This window comes from Homo sapiens, chromosome 5, assembly GCF_000001405.40.
Source record: "Homo sapiens chromosome 5, GRCh38.p14 Primary Assembly".
Lineage (NCBI taxonomy): Eukaryota > Metazoa > Chordata > Mammalia > Primates > Hominidae > Homo > Homo sapiens.
Window position 1 is genome coordinate 14680621 of NC_000005.10, and position 20891 is coordinate 14701511.

A 20891-nucleotide genomic window follows, 5' to 3' on the forward strand; every position below is an offset into this window, starting at 1 on the left:
CAGACTCACTAGGATTTTTTGGTGTCTTTTCAGGGTACGTTTCAGAATGGTCCATTGGATGGCTGTTTTTGAGTGCCCAAGCATGTCACTGAATATTTTCATTTGCTTGTTTCACTTCCAGACTGAGCAAGAGTGACACTTCACTTAAGAAAAGAAGGCGGGGCACGGTGGCTCACGCCTGTAATCCCTGCACTTTGGGAGGCAGAAGCAGGTGGATCATCTGAGGTCAGGAGTTCAAGACCAGCCTGGCCAACATGATGAAATCCTGTCACTACTAAAAATACAAAAAATTAGCTGGGCTTGGTGGCACATACCTGTAATCCCAGTTACTCAGGAGGCTGAGGCAGGAGAATTGCTTGAACCCGGGAGGCCGAGGTTGCAGTGAGCCGAGATTGCGCCACTGCACTCCAGCCTGGGCAACGAGAGCGAAACTGCATCTCAAAAAAAGAAGCCTAACAGAATTATTCAGCCATCTCCTGGCATATAGACTTTTATGTGTACATGCACATACACAAAGCACCCCCGCCCCCCTTTGTGTTTTGGAAACTTGGGGTTTTTCTATATTTTTTTAGTAGGAAAATATAAACTTAGTTTAGCTCTCTTTTTTCTTGCCTTTTTTTTTTTTAAAAGAGTTTAGGGTCATTTGAAACACAGAGTAAACCCTTCAAAATGTTGTTTGCCAGTGAGTAAGTGTTAAAACAATTGCTTAGAAAGGGACATAAAACTCCAACTTTGGGCATCCTCCCAGTGATCCCAGGCCAAGCTTTTTCCACAGGAATGAAACTTTCTCTGCTATCTCAAGTCAGTAACGACCATTTTGAATTCTTTCATACCTTTTCCCAGGGCTATGAAGAGGTTTCTCAGAAGTTCACCTCCATACGGCGAGTCCGTGGTGATAATTACTGTGCACTGAGGGCCACGCTGTTCCAGGCCATGAGCCAGGCTGTGGGGCTGCCGCCCTGGCTGCAGGACCCGGAGCTCATGCTGGTACGCTGCTGCTGCAGGTTTGAGTCCAAAATGTTTCAAACAATTTTTGTGAGAAAACTTTCCCTTTCTGTCCATGCTACCTTCTAGTATCGTCTGCAGTATGATGTCAGCATGTGCGTTTATTCAGTTTTGTGTGGCTGGGGTGATTTCACATAGTTAAATGACCAAAAATAATTGGTGTTTCCTAGAAGAGAAAAATGATAAAATTTATATGAACAATTTAGTTGAATTAGAGAGCAGATGTTTGTATAAAGCACTTAGGAACAGTTCGATTTCAATTTTGGTGTTTATTTTAAGTAGGCTGTATATGTTACTATTTGAGAACCTGCTAGGGTTTTAGAATACACATTTCTTTAGTTTTTAGCTATAATTCAATAAATTAGTACTTTTGGCTAAGTGTGAGGATTGGCTTAGTAGGTGGCAGAACAGGAACACTAGAAGAGACATGATTACTGTCACATGGAGAGGGGCTTCCTGAGGAGCTGAGACTCAGCCTGTCCCAGGCCTGGCCCTCTTTAGCGTTTTAAATGTACCACATGGCAGACATGCACTGGAAAGTCATGTGTCTGCATGTCCTGACACGGATAAAGGCATATAGTCAGGTGGGTGATAGACTATCCTGAAAGATTTTTTGGTCAGGAATGATTGGTCAGAGACAGCAATATACCCATATAACAAATCTGCACATGTACCTTCTGTATCTAAAATAAAAGTTGAATTGCAAAAAAAGAAATGGCCACAGCCACCCAATCTTCAACAGCCACCACCCTGTTCAGTTAGCAGCCATCAACATCAAAGCAAGACCCTCCACCAGCAAAAAGATTACAACTTGCTGAAGGCCCAGATGATCATTAGCATTTTTTTACCAACAAAATATTTTTAAATTAAAAAAAAAATGACAATATGACATTAACTGGAAGAAAATTGAAAGTCTTGTGCTTAAATTTAAAAAATCCAAAACCCAGAAATGCTAGCCGTGGGAGATTGGCCTTATAGCAATTTATGAAAAGAAAGAAAAAGATGTTAGGATTTTAATTATGCAAGCCCACTGTGAGCCTGCATGAAATGCGATGGCTAGCAATGATCACAAAGCCCTAGCTGCATTTTATTTTTATTATTTTTATTTTTATTTTTTTTGATATTAAGCAAAAAGACCAACCTGGCTGCGTTTTAAAAGGAATGATTCTAAGAATTAGGCAGTGACAGCCCCACCTTGAACTGGGCTGGTCAGAGGCCATCTCAAGCTCGGTGCCTGATAAAGTATCCTCAGCAGATGGAAATGTGGCCAGGATGCTTCTTCACATTCTGGGAGCCATTGAAGGAACTGGGGTGTTTTCCTAGAATAAAGAAGACTTTTAGAGGAACTTGTTGACTAAGCTAGAGGTCTTTTAGGTGGATGAGAGATCACACGCTCAGAAGGGCAAAACCAGGATTGATGGGTGAAGGATACTCCCCATCTGTTCCATGATTGTTTAATACACCAGCATAAAATCAGCACACCTATATCAACTGTCAAAATGACATCTGGAGCCAAGTGTGGTGGCGCCTGTAGTGTTAGCTACTCAGGAGGCTGGGGTGGGAGGATCACTTGAGCCAGGAGTTCAAGTCCAGCCTGGGCAACATAAGGAGACCCCTTGTATTGGGGAGTCTATTAAAAAAAAACCAAAACCAACATCTGGGAAAGATATTTTCTTCTAAGCAAAGATGCATGCCATCTTAAGCCGATTTTTCAGTATTAGCTTATTTCTTTCATATAGAGGCAAGAGAAATGGATATACTAAGCTGTTTTTTCTTTTGTAAATGATGCCATTTATTAGTAAAGTATTTCAGAATTGCCAGTTGGCGAAAGCATTCCTATGGTTGGATATAAGACCCAACTAGAGAAGCAAACAATGATTTCACTGTTTTTGCTTTGCCTTATTTTAACTTCTGTGCTTGACAACTGTAGATATATATGACACAATTTCTAGATTTTGGTGGTGTATACCTATGTTCTTAGCTACTCAGGAGGCTGCGCTGGCAACTGTGGCTATATTATATTAATCTACAAATCTGTATTTCTGGATAGTGACATAATATCTTCCTCAATTTTAGGCAAAATTTTCCTTTTGAGGCTTTACCTTTAAGGAGCTATTTGGATTTATGGACTTACTTGACACTAAATTTGTATTTTTATACTTTCTGAGAATCTGGGGTAAATAGTGTCCTAATTAATTAAATAAAGTATAAAATTGCTTTTAAAAAAGTTAAGTACAATGTCTCCCCCCCTTTTTTTTTGCTAGCAGGATATATTGGGTAAGATTATCTGCCATATTAAAAATAGTCTGGGTAGATTACATTCAAACTCTAATCACTGTTACAATATGTTGCATGTGTGAGTGATGGGGTTTTAAGGTGGTTTTTCTGACTTAATTTGAGTAATGTGAAAATAGTTTTAAAATTCTTAAGTGTTCTTTCCAGTTTCTTTCCTTTTCTATGTGTATCAGCTATTATATTTTTCTGGGAGCATAATTTAATTAGTTGGTCACTTGGTTTGGTTTTTGTCATCTAATTGAATGCCAAGAGGCCTCTGTCAGAGAGGGAAAACACAGTGTACCTGCCTGTGGGTTTGATATTTATGTTTATTAAACGTTGGATCTGAATGTTAGCTGAAGAACGTCTTTGTTCTTTCCTTGCTGTCATCCAGCCAGAGGACTTGTCCTTGTGTTGCTGTTCCAGCCCTCAGCAATTTAACATAGTTTGAAAACTTGCTTTACCCAGTTCGTTTTGTGGTATCACGTCTGAGACATGATTGGATGACAAATTCAAATTCAGCACATGCTTTGTGTTTGAGGGGCCAGTGAAGGAAGGAAGGGACCCATAAGCTTACTCTGGTTGTGCAAATCTACCAGGTGGCCCGCAGACCCTCCTGTGGATGCCTTTCCATTCCTGTTCTCACTCTGGCCCCCCTGGCCCCACAGCCCTTCCCTTGGAAGGTCCACTCTGACAAGGGCTTTGTTGAGTGAGCGTTTCTTGCAGTGTGACTGAAATAAATCAGGGGTGGAACCTTTAGCTAGCTTTATCTGCTTCTGTTTGCAGATTGAGAGATGTTCTCTGTGGCATGTTGCTGTCTTCTCTGTCTTTTAGAACATCATTTGGTTTTAGGGTATTAAAGGGAGCTGGGAAAGCTAGACTGAGTGACCCTCCCCTTAATCTATGCTCGGTGAAGAAGACCCGGGCTTCCTTTCTGCTGCTGCTCAGCTTTGCTGGCCTTGCTCTGTTCCCTGCCTGTGAGGCAGAGCTTTGTCCTTATTTGCCCCTCTGACAGTTCGGCTGTCCCTCACCTCCTGTCATCCTGCCCAGGTGTCCTGTTTGTTGTTCCCATTTCTGCCCAGATCCCAGTCTCCGTGTTTGGCTGCAGCCAGATCATCTGACCCTCACCCCAGCTATGGAGATGGCCTAGCCTGGCTCTCAAATGTGGGACAACACTTTGGTTCCTGAGGAGGGTACCCTTTAGAGTTTGGTTTCCAAGTTCGTTACATTTTATAATGTCTCTGAACTGGTTAGACTGTGACAGTGTTTGCTTAGAGTGAGATAGACTGTGTATCAAAATTTTTTTGTAAGTTTTGGGGATGACACATTTTTATTATTTGCTTTCTGTTGTGGTATCAAGAATTACCGGCATATGCTAGAGAAAACAGGCTGTTTTATAGTTTAGTCACAAACAAAATGACACCTAAGCTAATTACCTACTTTATTCTTGAATATTTCCAATCACTGTTTCTTGTTTAAATCTGGTTTCTTGCTTAAATTTTCTTTATTCTAATAGAAGTCCAGTTTGTGCTTAGTGGAAAACAAAGGTTATTTACGTGTGTTCCATGTGCTGTGACCTCTGAAAGCGTTTGAAGTTGTATTCACTTTTTTCTTCTGAATAAATTTGACTTCATTCTTTTCTGATGGCTTTTTTCATGCTTCATTTTTTAAAATTGTCTTAAGGATTTCTGCATTTCCTGGAAGTCTACAACCCTGAACTGTTTGACCAGTGTGTGAAGGGAATCAGAAACAATTGTTTCTCTCTGTGTAGTTAGGTCTTCAGGGTCTCCTGAGTAATTCAGTTGAGTACTGTACCTACTTTTTAGATAACTGTATCATGTCCCCAGATGCTCAGCCGGTCTTCTGGGCTTCCCTTCACCTCATTTCCCAGCTCACATCTGTGTAGCCAGTATTTTCTGCACATTTGTAGTTCTTTGTGCCCAATTGTAATTTTAGCTTGTTGCCACTTGAGGGCATGTGAGGTTCTTGTGATAAATCTGAGAGACTGAATTGAAGGTTTTGCTGCAGAACTGCCACATGTTGCCGAAACGCAGGGCAGTGTGGGCACGGAGTGGGCTGGTGCAGCCTTTAGGTGGGTGGTCATTTGTTATTCTAATAAGATGAGGAGGAGAAGTCCCTCTCCACCCTTAGTGAGTGATGTAGTTCGCCATCACTGTGGTCACAGTGAAAAGTAATTTACATCCCAATCGTGGTTCTGTGTTTTGTAGAAACCACCTTAGTTCACACGATTGCTCTAGGTTGAGAAGGTACCACCAGAATTACTATTTATGAAAGGGTCTTTTAGTCTTACATTCCAGTTGAATGGAAGATTTGGCCTCATTTAAAACTGTATTTATTTTATTTTATGTATTTATTTTTATTCATTTCTTTCTTACTATATAAAGTTTTTAATTTTTTGGGGATGAGGTCTTGCTCTGTTGCTCAGGCTGAAGTGCAGTGGTGCAGTTATAGCTAACTGTAACCTCAAACTCCCGGGCTCAAGTGATCCTCCTGCCTCAGCCTCCTGAGTAGCTGGGAATACAGGTACATGCCACTGTGCCCAGTGAATTTTTAAACTTTTTTTTTTTATAGAAATGGGGTCTTGCTATGTTGCCTGTACTGGCAGAACTGTATTAATAACTGCTAAACAAGGTCAGGTTCCTCATAGGATATTGTAGGATTTAATTATTCTTTAATGATCTGTTGACTTGGAGGTGAACTTTTTTTCCTTTCTAAATTTTATAGCAGTGAAGTGACACACCTGTGCCCAGCCTAATTCTAGGATTTTTCTCCTGACACACCCAAGACTGTTGGAAGAGTCTTACTTCCCATGCTGTCATCAGTCAGGCTGTGCCTCAGCTTGCCTTTCAAACTGCAGATTGTGTTGATAACTAGAGGGAAACAAAGTAACAAATACTCCAGGAATAAAAAAAATGGAAACTAGCAATGTAGTTCAGCTGTCACTTCTTTCATGAACTAAGTGAGCACAGCTCACTTAACCCTGCCTCTGATTTTCAATTGTATGTTTTATCTTAATAGATCGATTAGATAGTTAAACTAGACATAGTATCATTTCTCTGAATGTTAAAACTTGAGTATATGTGTTAACATTATTTAACCAAACTTTTTCTACCTTTTTTTGGTGGATTTTTTAAATGCCAGAAACTAGGTTTTATTTTTCTTATTGGGAAAGGAGAAGGTTTGGCTTCACCCTGGACCTTCTCACATGCTCAGAAGCACTGTCCCGAGCCATGTGTTAGGTGGTGGTTGAGAGGCTGCAGTGAGTCCCATAGCCTGAAGGTGGTTGGTGTGAGGACGTGCTGTGGGCATGGCCTGCTGTGGAATGTCCTGGCCGTGGTTGGAGTCCTGCAAGGCAGATTGTGCTTTGGCTCAACCAAAAGCACCATTTCACTCCAGCAGCCCTCCTCAGGGTGGTACTTTCTAAGTTCCTGACTTCTAGATTTAGGTCCTCCATCCTAAGCCCACATCACAGATTTGCAGAATTAATTCTGGAAACAAAGTTAGGTTTTATAGACTTTGTGGTTTCTTACAGCTTGGATTGTGTGGTGGATTTCTTGGAATGTTAACACTTCTTTATCTCTTTGTTTCTCGATGTTGTAGTTACCAGAAAAACTCATAAGCAAATACAACTGGATCAAGCAATGGAAACTTGGACTGAAATTTGATGGGAAGAATGAGGACCTGGTTGATAAAATTAAAGAGTCCCTTACTCTGCTGAGGAAGAAGGTTTGGAACCTGTAGTGTCCTGTCTGATAAGGGTGAAGCTCTCGTTCTTGCTTGCCCCAGAAGACCAGTTTTTAGTCTTCACTCAGTGGATTTTCAAATGCTCTTGGCTGATTTTTAGGCAAAATGGTTTTAAATGAATTCAAACTCTTCCCACGAGGGCTTTAGTAAAATGGGAAGTACCAACATTATATATTCTTAGAGCAGATGCCATGTACTAGGGTATCAAATAATGAAGTGTTTGACTTTCTTAAAAGGAAACCTTAACAAATATAGTCTTTGTTCCAAGTCATATTTATGTTTCAAGAATATAATTTGGTTCCTATTTCTTATATCATTAGTAATTTATTAAATTCTTTCCAATTATGCTCATGTTTTAAGATTCTGCCCATATTTATCAGACTTATTTTCTTTCTCCGTGATTTTCCAGTTAGTAGATTTAGTAACTTGTCTTTAGAAAACTGTCCTGAGAGTTTTTCTGAAACAGAATTGTAGGGAGAACTTGGTCTTCTGATTCCTATTGATTTGGTCTTTGAAATTCTACCTTTCTGTGGCTTTCCACTGTCTCCTCTGGGTTGGATGTCCTGCCTGCACACTGGCTTACATGACCCCTAGCTTGCTTTCATTGAGCAGCTTGGAGCCCTTCTCACCAAGAACCCTGATTGAGGGCCTGTCACTTGCGCCAGGGTGTCGGTGGAGGGTGGTCAAGTAGAGAGGGGTCAAACATGGACTTTTCAAGGTCCTTCCTAGCACGTACTTCAAACAGTGATTTCTGTACTCACACATGGTCTGCTGCTCCCATTAGACTTTCAGCTCCACGAGAGACTGTCCTGTGCATTCCTTGACACCCTGTGTCCAGCAGCAGGTCTGGCACATAATAGGTGTTCATTTAGTGCTTTATTGAATTAGTGAACTGAGGGCCCTGACTTCTTGGAACCTAGTTTTTGCTTAGAAAGATAAGAAATGTTTACTGGAAAATATACTGTCAAAGGAAGTCCAGTAGTTTTATCTTTCTTTTACTATAAAGAAATGGGAGCAAAAGAAGGGAAGAGGGAAATTCCATTCTTGTTACCTGTTGGACTAGAATGCAGGATTTTTGTGTTCCCCAGTCCTTGGGTTAGTGGAAGGCTGACGGCAGGGCTGTAGCCCTGTGGGAGTGAACGAGAGGGCCCTTCAGCGCAACCACAGGTCACAATTTCGTTTTCATTTTTTTAAGGTCTTGTGAAATTGCTATTTCTGCTTTATTAGGTTTTTCTACTATAATTAGACCCTCATTTTTGGGAATGCTTGAGTGGTGCCAATTTGCAATAAGGTTAAAATTACTAATAATCTGAGCCAGCATTACTAACACTTCTATGCCAGGCTCCACACTAAAATTTCATGTGTTATTTAATTCTCACAACTATGAAGGTGGTGTCGCTGTGGTCATCACTGTTTTTTAGGTGAGGAAACTAAGGCCAGGAGCTCAGTTAAATGCCCTGCAAAAACCACCACAGCTGCTCTGTGGTGAAGCCTTGATTCCATCCCGACTGACTTTAGAGCCATGTCCATGATTGGCAACTTGGTCTAGTTTGGAAAATATGAGATACAGACAAGCAAGTACCAGCCTTCAGCCCAAATATTAGAGGGAATTGTATGCAGTCATTACCATTGAATTCACTCTTGTATTTAAAATCCATAATGGTGTTTGAGAGGGGCACTAGTTATTGTTGATTCATAAGGAATGGTATTTATGTTGGCGTCTCTTATTCTCATTCACTGTAACTTAAAAGCACATATATTTATAGGTTTTCTTTTTTAAAGAGTTTGTCTATATTCACTGAATACCTAACACATTACTTTATTCTTAATCCGGAGTCAAGAGTTTCCTGAATGGATTTATTCATTTGAAGTTCATATATATTTTTGAGGTTAGAGGGATAAGTTTAGTAAATTATTATTCAGGAGCCCCTACGCCCTTCCTTGCCTCTCTTCCATTTAGGAGGGTTGGCTTTGTGTTTCTGGGTGCTAACCCTCCTGTAAGCCCCTTATAATTGTAGCTGCCCTTCACAGCTTCACACACAGGCTTCACACACATGTGTTAGCTCTTCCATAAGTGTCTCTGATTGGCTGGTTCAATCTCATTGCCTGGGAAGTTAAGGGAGTCAAAATTTCCACAGCCTCGGTGCTTCTTATTGCATTGTATTTTTCTTTCAAATTAATGGGAGAAAAAGCTGAATAAGGAGTTTGTGTGCTTTAAAGTGTACCATTTGTTAATCTGGAAACCTGAATGTTGTGAGCATTGGTAAGTGACCCATGGTCACTTTTAAAAAATAATTTTGTGCTCATAGTATGGTACTATACCAGGGATTTTTAGAACAAAAATTCTAATTATTACATAACTTTCTTATTGTAGTGGGCAGGCTTGGCTGAAATGAGAACTGCTGAAGCAAGACAGATAGCTTGTGATGAACTATTCACAAATGAGGCGGAGGAATATAGCCTCTATGAAGCTGTAAAATTTCTAATGCTAAACAGAGCCATTGAACTATATAATGATAAAGAGAAAGGAAAGGAAGTACCATTTTTCTCTGTGCTTCTGTTTGCTCGGGACACATCAAATGACCCAGGACAGCTTCTGAGGAACCACCTCAACCAGGTGGGACACACTGGTGGTCTTGAACAGGTAAGTTGTGCTTTTGAGCATGTATTACCCCAAAATAAAGCAGCTTTACTGATCAAACTTGATGTCACAGTTTTTGTAGGTCAGAAATTCAGGGACAGCTTAGTTGGATGGTTCTGGCTCAGGATGTCATGAGGCTGCAGTTGTATGTTCAGGGCTGCAGTCATCTGAAGGCTTGACTGGGGCTGGAAGATCTACTTCCAGTGTTGTTCACTCATGTGGCTGTGGGCAGGAGGCTTCAGTTCCTTACTGGTAGTTAGTAGGAGGGTTCAGTTCTTCACACATAGGCCTCCACAGGGCTGCTTGAGTGTCCTTACAACATGGCAGCTGGCTTCTCAGAGTGAACTAAGCAGTGAGCAAGAAAGAAGCCAAAATGCCTTTTATGACCTAATCTAGGATGTCACACACTGTTAGATTGTTTTCTACTTTTTAGAAACAAGTTACTTGATGCATTCCACTCTCAAGAGGAGGGGAATTTGGCTCCACCTTTTTGAATGAGGGGTACCAAAGAATTGTGGACATACTTTACAGTCACCACCGTTATCTCAGCCTGGGCTTTATTCTTCAGAGGGGTGGATGGGATTAGTACTCTTGGCTCTGGGAGGCTACAAATAAGTGAAGTACTTGGAAGAGCCATTCGAAGGGTCTTGTTTAATCTTGGCAACTGTAGCTGCATTAAAAAGAGAAATGGAGTCACCTTAGCCAGTAGAGTTCAGCCTGCTCTTGGATCTTTTACAGATTTGTTAAGTGTGGAGTTTTACACACAAACCCAGTGCAGTACTATCTCTAAGCCAATATAGTTGAGTCACCACACCTTGTGCTATCTTTGATGTGTTCATTTTCCTAAAAAGTCTTAATGAGGTTTTTTTTATTGGAATAGCCAACCGCTAAAGTAGCATTAAGGCTGTTCATCAAAGTGCCACCCTCCTACTTACATAATTGACTCTTGTGCCTGCTTTTTTCTAAAAAGGCCCAAGTGCCATGACAGATACTGCAAGGATTAGAGAGCTGAGTTAGTTTCCATTCTGAGCTGTCCTGGAGTGTGAGGTCTCTTCTTCTGTTATTGCCAAGTGCGTAGGAAGGAGTGTAGACTGATGGTCACTGCTGGGTCAGGCAGGGCTGATGATAGTTATTTTCAAAAATTACCTGTACTCATAATGTGGGTTACTTACGTCTCCTGAACCATAGCAAGTACCTTGCAGTCAAAAGGCTTATAGAGGATGGTTTGCATATTAGACTAAAGTTAGTCTTTTCCGAGACCCTATAAGGTCTGCTGTGATGGTGAGTCCATTCTTTTTTTTTTTTTTCAATAAGAAATTTTCAGTTTCTTTTTTGAAATACATATACCATAAAGTTCACTCTTTTAAAGTTTTGCAGCCATCACTACAGTCTAATTTTAGAGCATTTTGTCAAAAGAAACCTCATGCCCATTAGTAACCACTTTGTCTTCTTTCTAACCCTAGGCAGCCACTAATCTACTTTCTGTCTCAATGGATTTGCCTGTGCTGGACATTTCATATGAATGGAATCATATAATATGTGGTCTTTTGTTTATGGCTTATTTGATTTAGCATAATGTTTTTAAGATTTCATCCATATTGCACCATGTATTAGTACTTCATTCCTTTTTATTGATAAGTAATATCCCATTGTATGGATGGATCACATTTTATTCATCTGTTCAATAGTTTGATGGGTATTTGGATTGTTTCCACTTTTTAGTTCTGTGAATAACCCTGCTATGAACATTCATGTATAATTTTTTTTATGTGAACATATGTTTGTAGTTCTCTTGGGTATACACCGAGGAGTGGAATTGCTTTAACATTTTGAGGAACTGCCAGACTGTTTGCAAAGCAGCTGCACCATTTTACATTCTCACCAGCAATGTATCAGTGTCCTGTTTCACCATATCTTCACCAACACTTCTGACTTTTTGTATTGGGGTGAAGTTCATATAATTTAAAATTGACCATTTTAAAGTGTACATCTCATTGACATTTAGTACACTGCTGGTGACCACCACCTATATGAAGTTCTAAAACATGTCACCCCCAAAGAAAATCCTGTGCTCATTAAGCAGCCATTCCCCATTATCATCTTTTTGGTTATAGTCATTCTAGTGGGTGTGAAGTACTATCTCATTGTAGTTGGATTTGGATTTTGATTTCCCTAATGACTCACAACGTTGAGCATCTTTTCATGTGCTTTCTTGGTCACTTGTATATCTTCTTTGGAGAGAGGTGTCTGTTCAGATCCTTTGCCTAATTTTTAAGCTGGTTATTTGGTTTTTTGTTTTGTTAATTGTTGTAAAAGTTCTTTATTCTGGATACAGGATCCTTATCAGACATATGATCCATTCTTGATTATCTGCTTTTTTTTTTTTTTTATTTAAATCGAAAAGGATTGGGGCTGGGCCCAAAGCAGGAGGAAAAAACGTTGTGGCTTCACCATTGCTGTGCACTGTGGGATAATGGATGGAACATGGTGTTAAGCCACGTTTTTCAGTGTGATCTTCCTCAGAATACCCGTTTGCTCTTCTTCCCAGGTTGAAATGTTCCTTCTTGCCTATGCTGTGCGCCACACCATCCAGGTGTACCGGCTCTCCAAGTACAACACGGAAGAATTCATCACAGTCTACCCCACCGACCCACCCAAGGACTGGCCAGTGGTAACGCTCATTGCTGAGGACGATCGGCACTATAACATCCCCGTCAGAGTGTGTGAGGAGACCAGTCTATGAGAGACGCATGCTCCTGACAGCCTGGCGACGTGGCGAAGATGCACAGGTGGCTCCTGGGCTTGGGCTGCAGGTTTGGGGGTCTCTAAGAACAATCTCTGAGAAGAACCCTTGGGCCCCTGGGAGCCAAGTTGGACAGGATGTCCTGAAGACTAGCTTTTGATAAGAGAAATTAACCAAGTCTTTCCCCTCATCTATGATGCAATATATTTCAGTGGGGGCCTTCAGAGCACACCTGTTGGACGGTGCAAACCATATCTTCTCCAGAAGGCAAATACTTTTGTATCAGAGGAAACTCAGTTTTGGAGAGGAATATGTTCTTTATGTCTCAAATCAAAACTCTCTCTAATGGTAAACTGGCTTCTAATTTTTTTAAGTACAGTATTTTTTTTTCCCCTTTAGTAGTAACGGGTTTCTATAGATCTTCCTATACAGTCTGCTTTAACTCAGGACCTTGAGATTATGAGACTGACGTGCTGCCCACTGCACTGAGGGGGCTTCTAACAGTCTGCTTTAAGTGGTATAATTCTGGGATAGATCTGTTACTGGCATAGTCATGACAACCTCTGGTAATCTTACCTTCTCCTTTTTATGAAGGGAAGAGCAATGGTTTGGACTTACATCTTAATTAAGGCTATTTTAAGCAGATTGTTTTGCAACAGATTAAGAATTGGGTCCCAAAGTGGGTTATTTCAAGGCATTTTTGAAGACTGGAGGAGCGTAGGAGGGAGTGGTGAGGGAACCTAGAACTTCTTGCTCCTTGTGACTATGACAGATGTCTGATGCCCCCAGCGCACTGGAGTCTGGGGCTTGGTGCAGGTGGTGCCCCATCAGTGTGGACAGACACTACTTGCCTTTGTGGTTTAGTGTTGGAAGCTTTAATTATTCTACAGTTCCATAGATTCACAATTTTATAGCCAAACAGTTTGTATCCACCTGCTTTCAGAGGAGGAACCAAAGGCCAAATTACTTTGAGGTAGGGCTTAGCTGGACCTGGGTTTTCCTATGCTCTTTTCATGCTGTGTTGGAGGGTGTGTCCACTGCCAGATCTGTGTAACCCGTCTGGGTCAGGGGATGAGTGACAGCAAACCATCTTAAAATTTTTCATGAGTACATTTAAGCGGAAGCATACGGGAATATGAGTGCAAAAGTGTGGCTGAGCCGCGTATGCCCTTGATTGGTTTTGGGAAGCCTGAGGGAGGCAGCCTTCCTGGCTATGAGCCATCGCCTGCCCAATCAGGCTAAGGGTGGTGACTGGGGTGGTGAAGGGGCAGCTCTGCTGAGCATGGTCTGCCTTATGGCCTGAATTGTCCTCAAGGGGTGTGGACTGCAGATGGTGTTCACATGAACCGGAGACATCACTCTTTAGGATTCTACTGGCAGCCCCTGAATTGGCTCAACGTTTGTGGAGGTGGTATTTCCCTGAAGTACTGAGCTTTGTTTTATAATAATTAAAATCCTTATTTGGTCCAATTTAATATAGTTTAGAAGCTATTTTTTTTGAGGCAAACCGTTTTTGAAAATGTAAATTTTGTTTTTAATTAAAAATAAAGTCTTAGTTAAGAAAACTCAGGATGCACAAAACTATTCAGACTGTTACTTTAGCTTTCTCCCATTACCTCATCAGTAATATTCACCACATTTTGCTAAATATTTATTGATTAGAGTGTTGAAATCAAATTCTGCTCTAAATGTGTGTGAATATGTTGGAGAGGCTTTGTGTTCTTCACTGTGAAATGCAATTGTGCCTTGAATAAGAAGGTACCTAGAAGCCAAATTAAAGTAATAATGACTTCTTATTGGCTTTGATTTTTCATTGCAGTATATGGGATTGTACAGCAGGAAATGCTTATCATTAATTTCTGATGTTTTTTAAAGCACAACTCGAAACATTTCGATCATACATACATAGCAGTAGAGATCTGTGCCCTTCAGGTACATTGAATCTGACCATCAGTTTATATATGTCATTGAATTTTAAGAATACTCATGTTAATAATAGTCATCTATCCTTGCATTTTGAAACTGTTCTAATCTTAGTGAACTTGAATTGGATTTCTGGGTAAAAGAATGTGTTTCTTTTATGTTGCTTATGTCCGAAGGCCTTGTCAGAATCTGTCAGACTCTTGTTTAGGTTTAGTGTGATCATGGCGTCAGAGAAGCAAAGCTTTCAAATAAATAGTACTTCAGGAAATAGAAATGATTGACCAACTTTAAAAATAATTTTTTTTTAATTGCAATATGCAGCTTCAGTTGCCCAGAATCTTAGTTCCGTTTCTCATTCTTGGTCTTGAGCTGGTCAGGTGACATCAGCAGATTAGAAGTTGAATGGAGATTAAGTGGATTCAGGAGGATGTTCCACTTAGAGCAGTCTTCAAAATGATAAGGTGTTCTAGAAGAAAGGAATGTAGTAGGAACTATACTATGCCTAACTTTCTATCCCAGAGTGTCTTGCAAGAGTTTAGGAGTTTTGGACCCTGTGTATTGGCAGAAAAGTTATCTCCATCTTAAGCAGGCATGACTTTTATACCTGTGAGCTCATTTAAGGTGCATTTAAACCTAAAATAATTTCCCTGTATTATGCTTCATGGGATTAACACTGCTTTTCCAGAACATTTTCAGATTCCCCTCCTTACATCCTGAGCTCCTTCTGTATATACATCTGTTGATTTTATCCATCCACAAGGAACAATGATAGTCACATTAGAGAACAAGAAACCAGTAATACATGGTCTCTAACTGATGATTCGGGCCTGGATTTGATTGAAAGTGTTTGCAGTTCCTCTTCCGTAGAATACAGAGTGGATGAAAATGTTTTCAATGCACAGAACAGGATGAATCCTTTTTTCTTTATTTAGCGATTTACACTTTTGTTACTCTATTATATATTCAGTTAGTGTCTGATAAGATTTTCTTTGCTTAAGGAGAACGGACATTGCCTTGGTATGTTTTTTTTTTTTTTTCCCTCCACTTTTGGAGCTTATCAGGTAAAAATCTCAAGCCACATGAATTGTTAACACCTCTGTTGGGAAAAGCCTTTGTGAGTTTTTATGTACTTGGTCTTTGTTTTTGTTATTCATCCTGTGTCCTCCCTCTTCCCGATGTGCTGTTTTACCTAGGAGTTAGTCTGCTTTCTGAGGATCTTTTAGAGAGAGGCTGTGAAGTGCTGAATCACCTTTAATGATACAGCACTTCTGCCATCTCAGCATCTACATAGGACTTACATAGACTTCCTGAATGTGTCTTCTTCAGATACTAAAGTACAGTTGGATCATTTTCTTATCTCCTTTTCTTAAGCAGTACTTTGCAGGTACTCCCCTTTGAAAGCCAGAAGCATAAACCATTGGGGAATCTTAACTTGTAGACATGCAGTAAAAGAAATGCATTTATGTAAGATCTGTGAGTACTTAAAAAGAAAGCCCTCAGTGTGTGTGAAGTGAATGTGAAATGTGTGTGAAATACATAGAATTCCCAAATAGTTTAGCAAAGGCAGGGCGCAATATCAAGTAATTTAAAAATGGTCCAAGGAACTGTAAGAAGGAGGAACTAATTCTAGAATAAATGTTAAAATGCCATTCAAGAACAAAACCACAGATGCCATACAGACCTCCTGTGCTTAAGTTATAGAAGAATAAAAATCTGAATGAATGGAAGGCCTTACGTGTATACAGTTTACAAATTCCTATTTCTAAAATTTAAGTCCCTTATTTAACAGAAGTATGTATTTTAATGCTTAACTGTCTCGGGAAACCTCATTTGTGACATCATCTAAGGGGATGGGAAGACTAGGGAGCCAGTGCCACGTTGAACAGAACAGTGGTTTAGTGAATGTGTGAGGAAAGACATGGGCAACTGATTATTAATGTTTTTGTAATTCAGTTTATAACTTGGAACCAATGAAAAGCAACAAAACTAAACTGGTTTGACAGCCTGCCACTTCTGGCATTTCCTGTAAGTCACTAGCAGTAGGTGTGAGGTGGGCTTGCCCATGACCAGGAGGGGTGTGTGTGTGTGTGTGCATGTGTGTATATGCGTGTTGGTCTGCAGTCACAGCATACCTTTATGTGCATGTGTCCTCGCAGCTTGGGACTCAGCAGTATTCTGGGAGGGTGGAGGTGAACTGTCCCATGTATTGTATTATATATTTTTTGAGATGGGGTCTTGCTCTGTTGCCCAGGCTGGAGTGCAGTGGTGCGATCTCAGCTCACTGCAACTTTTGCCTCCTGGTTCAAGCAGTTCTCCTGCCTCAGCCTGCCAAATAGCTGGGATTACAGGTGTGTACCACCACTCCCAGCTAATTTTTGTATTTTTAGTAGAGATGGGGTTTTACCATGTTGGCCAGGCTGGTCTCGAGCTCCTGGCCTCAGGTGATCCACCTGCTTTGGCCTCCCAAAGTGCTGAGATTACAGGCGTGAACTACCGCGCCTGGCCCCATGTATTGTATTTTTTTCAGGTTATATTGAAATCTACTACCAGGAATGTCGGAATGGGTTTTGGTATGTATAATGGAAATAGATAGAGTGGTTAAGTCTAGAAACACATACATTAATTGTATTGAAATGTTATATCAATACATCATTTATGATGTGTGTGTGGTCCCAGACCTCATGGCCACCAGTTTGTTTAAGCATTGTGAATGCTTTTTAATAGCATTCATTAGCATTAATGGAGGAGGACACTGTGTTTTCTCAATTAATCTCATTGATTTGTTTGGTATAAGTTTGGGTCAGAAATGAAACTGCCAAAACATCGATCAGTACAAGGAAGGGACACAGGGCTTAAAATGTCCACAGTCTTGGCAGTGGACTTGGCAGTTCTCCCAGTAAGCAGAAGTACTTGAGCTTAATTCTGAACTTCAAAGTAATATTTTATACTTAATTTTAGGAGTTTTCATTTACATATTGAAAAATGCCTTGACTGTATTCACATAAATGGTGCTAAAACATTGTACCCCTTATAAGAACTGCAGCAATCCACAGTAATGTTGGTTACTTCTGAGTATTTGATAAAGGAACAAAGTCAAAATGAATGTATTTAATAAGCTTCTTTCTCATTTCCATTGTTTTTATAAAAATATTTTGGTATTGTTGCCTGCATTTTAGCCACTTCTAACTTTTTGTATTATGAATTTGGAGAGGATAACAAGCCAACTTTAGACCCTCTGCCAGTGGCGATGGTGTTTTTCTTCCATGGGTAAGCCATTGTGAATGGAGGCTGGTGGAGCAGCACACTGTGTGAACCTGGCAGCGCTCATCTTGGCTTGTTTAGCAGTGCCTCTGTTTACACCATAAGATGTTCCGCATGTGTCCAAAATTTCGCCTGCTCTGAAAAACATGCCCCCGAGGCTCTGTGCAGTTTGGGGCCTTGGTTCCCACCTGCAGATGCGGTCAGTTGCCTGGCTCCTGGGGCCAGAGTTTCCTCTGTTACTTGTTGAGTCTCTTGTCTTCACTGTCAGAAGCTGAACTGACTTGGGGGCTTTGCTGTTGATCCACTTTAGCAAACCCTGCTGCAGAGGACTGTAAAAACAAATAACTAAAAATAAACTTAGAAAATACAACTCAGAAGCCTGGCTCTGTTGCTGTGGTCAAATGCTTGCCTTTGAGGACTTTGGCAGATTGTGCTATTACATTGGGCTCTAACTTTCTGGCACCCGCAAGGCAGACCTATGATGTCCACATGGCTGACTCTTGACCCCTGGCCATTGTGAGCAGAGGAATCAAGGGTTTAGGGAGGCAGTATTGGGCAGTGTGGAAGAGTTAGATGAGATGAAGCAGTTAGCACAGTGCTTAACCCATACTAAGTGCCCCCAACCCTGCCAGCCAAATTAGGTGCATAGTTTTCAGCTTGGGTCTGGATTCAACAGCATTCCCGCTGCCCACTAAAAGGGTGGGCTTGGACAGTTCCTGAACCTCCCTAAATCTGTTTCTTCATCTTTACCACACACAGTCTGTCTCAGTGGTGGTGTGGATTAAGTGAGGTGCTAGCACTTATTAGGGGAAGATCCTCCAGACCTGCAAAGCAGGGCTGCAGCCCCAATTCTGACCCAGCCCTGCTGTGTGTTTGCCGCAAAGAGGTTTGGTGTGTGCGAGACATTTCTTTATGAACCATTTACACTGCTGGAAATGTACCCACTAATGTGATGGCAAGAACTTCAACAAATTGCTTATGAATCAGGCTCTCAATGGAAGAAGTTAATCCTCTGAAGAGGGGGAAGACTGGACTTTCAGAAGTATGTTGGGGATAGAGAATGAAGTTTGAGTCAGCAGAGCTCTGCCTTCCTGTTTGTCAAAGAACTAGAGTCTGGGAGTCTTGCAAGATGGAGCTGGGCTTCTGAAGAACCCAGTGGGTAGGTACTGGGCATCCATTAGACGGCAGTGCTAAGTCGGTCATGTGCAGCAGAAAGACCTCCCCACTGTGAACAACAAACCACTTTCCTCCTCCAGTGGCCCATTCATTTGGATTGATACACTTTTTCAGTGTCAGAAATGCACTTTCTCCCTCTACTTGTCTGAATTACGATGCTCTGCTCAACTCTGTGGACAGTGTTTCTTGAATTTCCTTTTCCACCGCCTTTTCCCACTCAAGAAAGTGGAGAGAAAAACAGGGATGCAGGCTGTGGGTCTTGTGGAAGCCCTTTACAACCATTAAATAAAGAACACCAGCTGCATTATGTGTGTTTAGAACGAGAAGTTGTTTGTACAGTATTTTTCTATTGACCGCTTCCGTCTTGCCTGAAACCTGGGCATTCTTTCTGTAGTTTCTCTGAATTTTCTGTCTCACCTCCTCACCCCTACCCTTGCCTTTTGTCTGGGCTCGGTTGCCTGTTCATGTTCTTTGCCTCTGACATTAAACTCTCCCTAGTTGCCTGTGTGCTTGAGACGTCTTAACAAGTTGTCCTCTAAGTGGTGCCATTGATGTACAGTCCCATTGGAGAGCACGAGTATGTTTCCTTAGGCTCTTACAACACTGGCTTTATCAAACATTTTGATCTTTGCTGAGCTGATGGTTGGAAGTCTGACTTGCGTTTCTTGAGAAAGGCTGAGCATGTTTTCATTTGCGTAAACCATTTTCAGGTCCTTTCCTGGGAGCCATCTGTTCATGTCTTCTGTAACCACTTTTGAGTTTTCTATCTGAATTTCACAGAAACGAGATAGATGTAGGGTGGGAGCAGTAGGAAGGAAAGGCGGACCAAGGGGTGTTAGAGATTCCATGTCAGGCCCTTTGGTTGCAAGTAACAATAACTCACTCAGAGTATTTTAGTTCACAAAGGGTTTGGCCTTCTTCAGGGACAAGAAGAGAGCATTGAAGACCAGAAGGTTACGGGAGGGAGGGCTGTCTTGCTGGTGTCCTAGAGTTGGCATGTTCAGGGTAGGAATATGGGAATGCCTGCATCCATTCACCAAAGAGTGCCAGCCCTGGGGCCAGGCATGGTTCCAAACTTGGGGATGTAGGGGTGAGCCGGCCAAGGCACAGTCCTCCCAGCCCTCTCCATCCTCACCCCAACCCCATGCCCACCCTCCCCAACCCTCCCCATCCATACCCTCTGTGCTCACCCTCCGCATCTGCACCTCCCCCTTTGCCCACCCTCCCCATCTGTACCTCCCGCTGTGCCTACCCTCCCCAGCCCTCCCCTCTGCAGCCCTCCCCACCTTTCACGGAGCTCTTGTGCATTTGTCACTGGTGAGCAGAACTGGCATGACTCCAGGGATGGAATCACAAAGTAACTATTTTTGTCTTTGGCTGTTTAAGACATAATTCAATCGGAGACCTTCTCCTACCCCTGGTGAAAACTCAACTCAGGGCGACCCATCACCTTTTTGAGCACTCTGGGGTAATAGACTTTATAGTCCTCTTAGGTTGCCAAATGCTTTCCTAACTCAGAAATTGGAATATCGCATCTGTGTGAGAGTGAAAGCTGTGACAGTTGCTCACTGCCCTGTTTGGCCCTCCAGAGTTAGAACAGGAGGAGGGAGCCAAGACAGGGAGGGAGCAGAGATCTCAGCCCTCCATAGGAATTGTCCTGTCGGCCGCCCTTCCTGGGCTCAGCCAGGGCTTTGTTCTCATTCTCTCATGGGGTACTTTCAGGAATCTTTGAGGCCCCCTCTGTCTCCCCACTTCTTGTCCCCGGCTCAGGGCCTTCCCATGTACCTTGACCAAGGCAGCTCCTGGGATGTGCTAATGCTGTCGCCTCCCACCACAACTTCCTCCTTTGCAGCTCGTAGGAAGCCAGTGATAGCTCCAGCTTCTTTCTACTGAGCCCTGTCCACACCCCTAGGTGGCCTTGTGGGGCAGGCCTTAAGATGACCCCAGGCAAGCTTGTTGATCTATGAGGCCAGGGTCTGGGCCAAGGGAAAGACTTTTGGACCCCCTGCCCTGTCAAACTCGGGATTTGCCAGCCAGCCCCAATGCCCTTCTATTAGATTTGATGGGTGAGTCAGACACCAGCCCACTGAGTCCCCAGGACTC

The 20891-nt window shown here is 41.8% G+C and overlaps 1 protein-coding gene across 6 annotated transcripts in view; it reads left to right on the top strand.

Moving 5' to 3' along the window:
* Positions 1–20891, top strand: part of OTULIN (OTU deubiquitinase with linear linkage specificity) — a 51808-nt gene that overhangs the window by 15903 nt on the left and 15014 nt on the right. For 3 of the 6 annotated variants that reach the window (NM_138348.6, XM_017010015.2, XM_047417864.1), the window contains 4 exons: positions 844–987; positions 6901–7026; positions 9419–9688; positions 12234–19230. In NM_138348.6, coding sequence (NP_612357.4) covers positions 844–987; positions 6901–7026; positions 9419–9688; positions 12234–12428 — 735 coding nt within the window. In that variant the 3' untranslated portion in view covers positions 12429–19230. Of the gene's footprint in view, positions 1–843; positions 988–6900; positions 7027–9418; positions 9689–12233; positions 19231–20891 lie in introns of those variants that run through there. The other 3 variants (XR_007058658.1, XM_011514151.3, XM_011514154.3) reach the window with 2 other exon arrangements.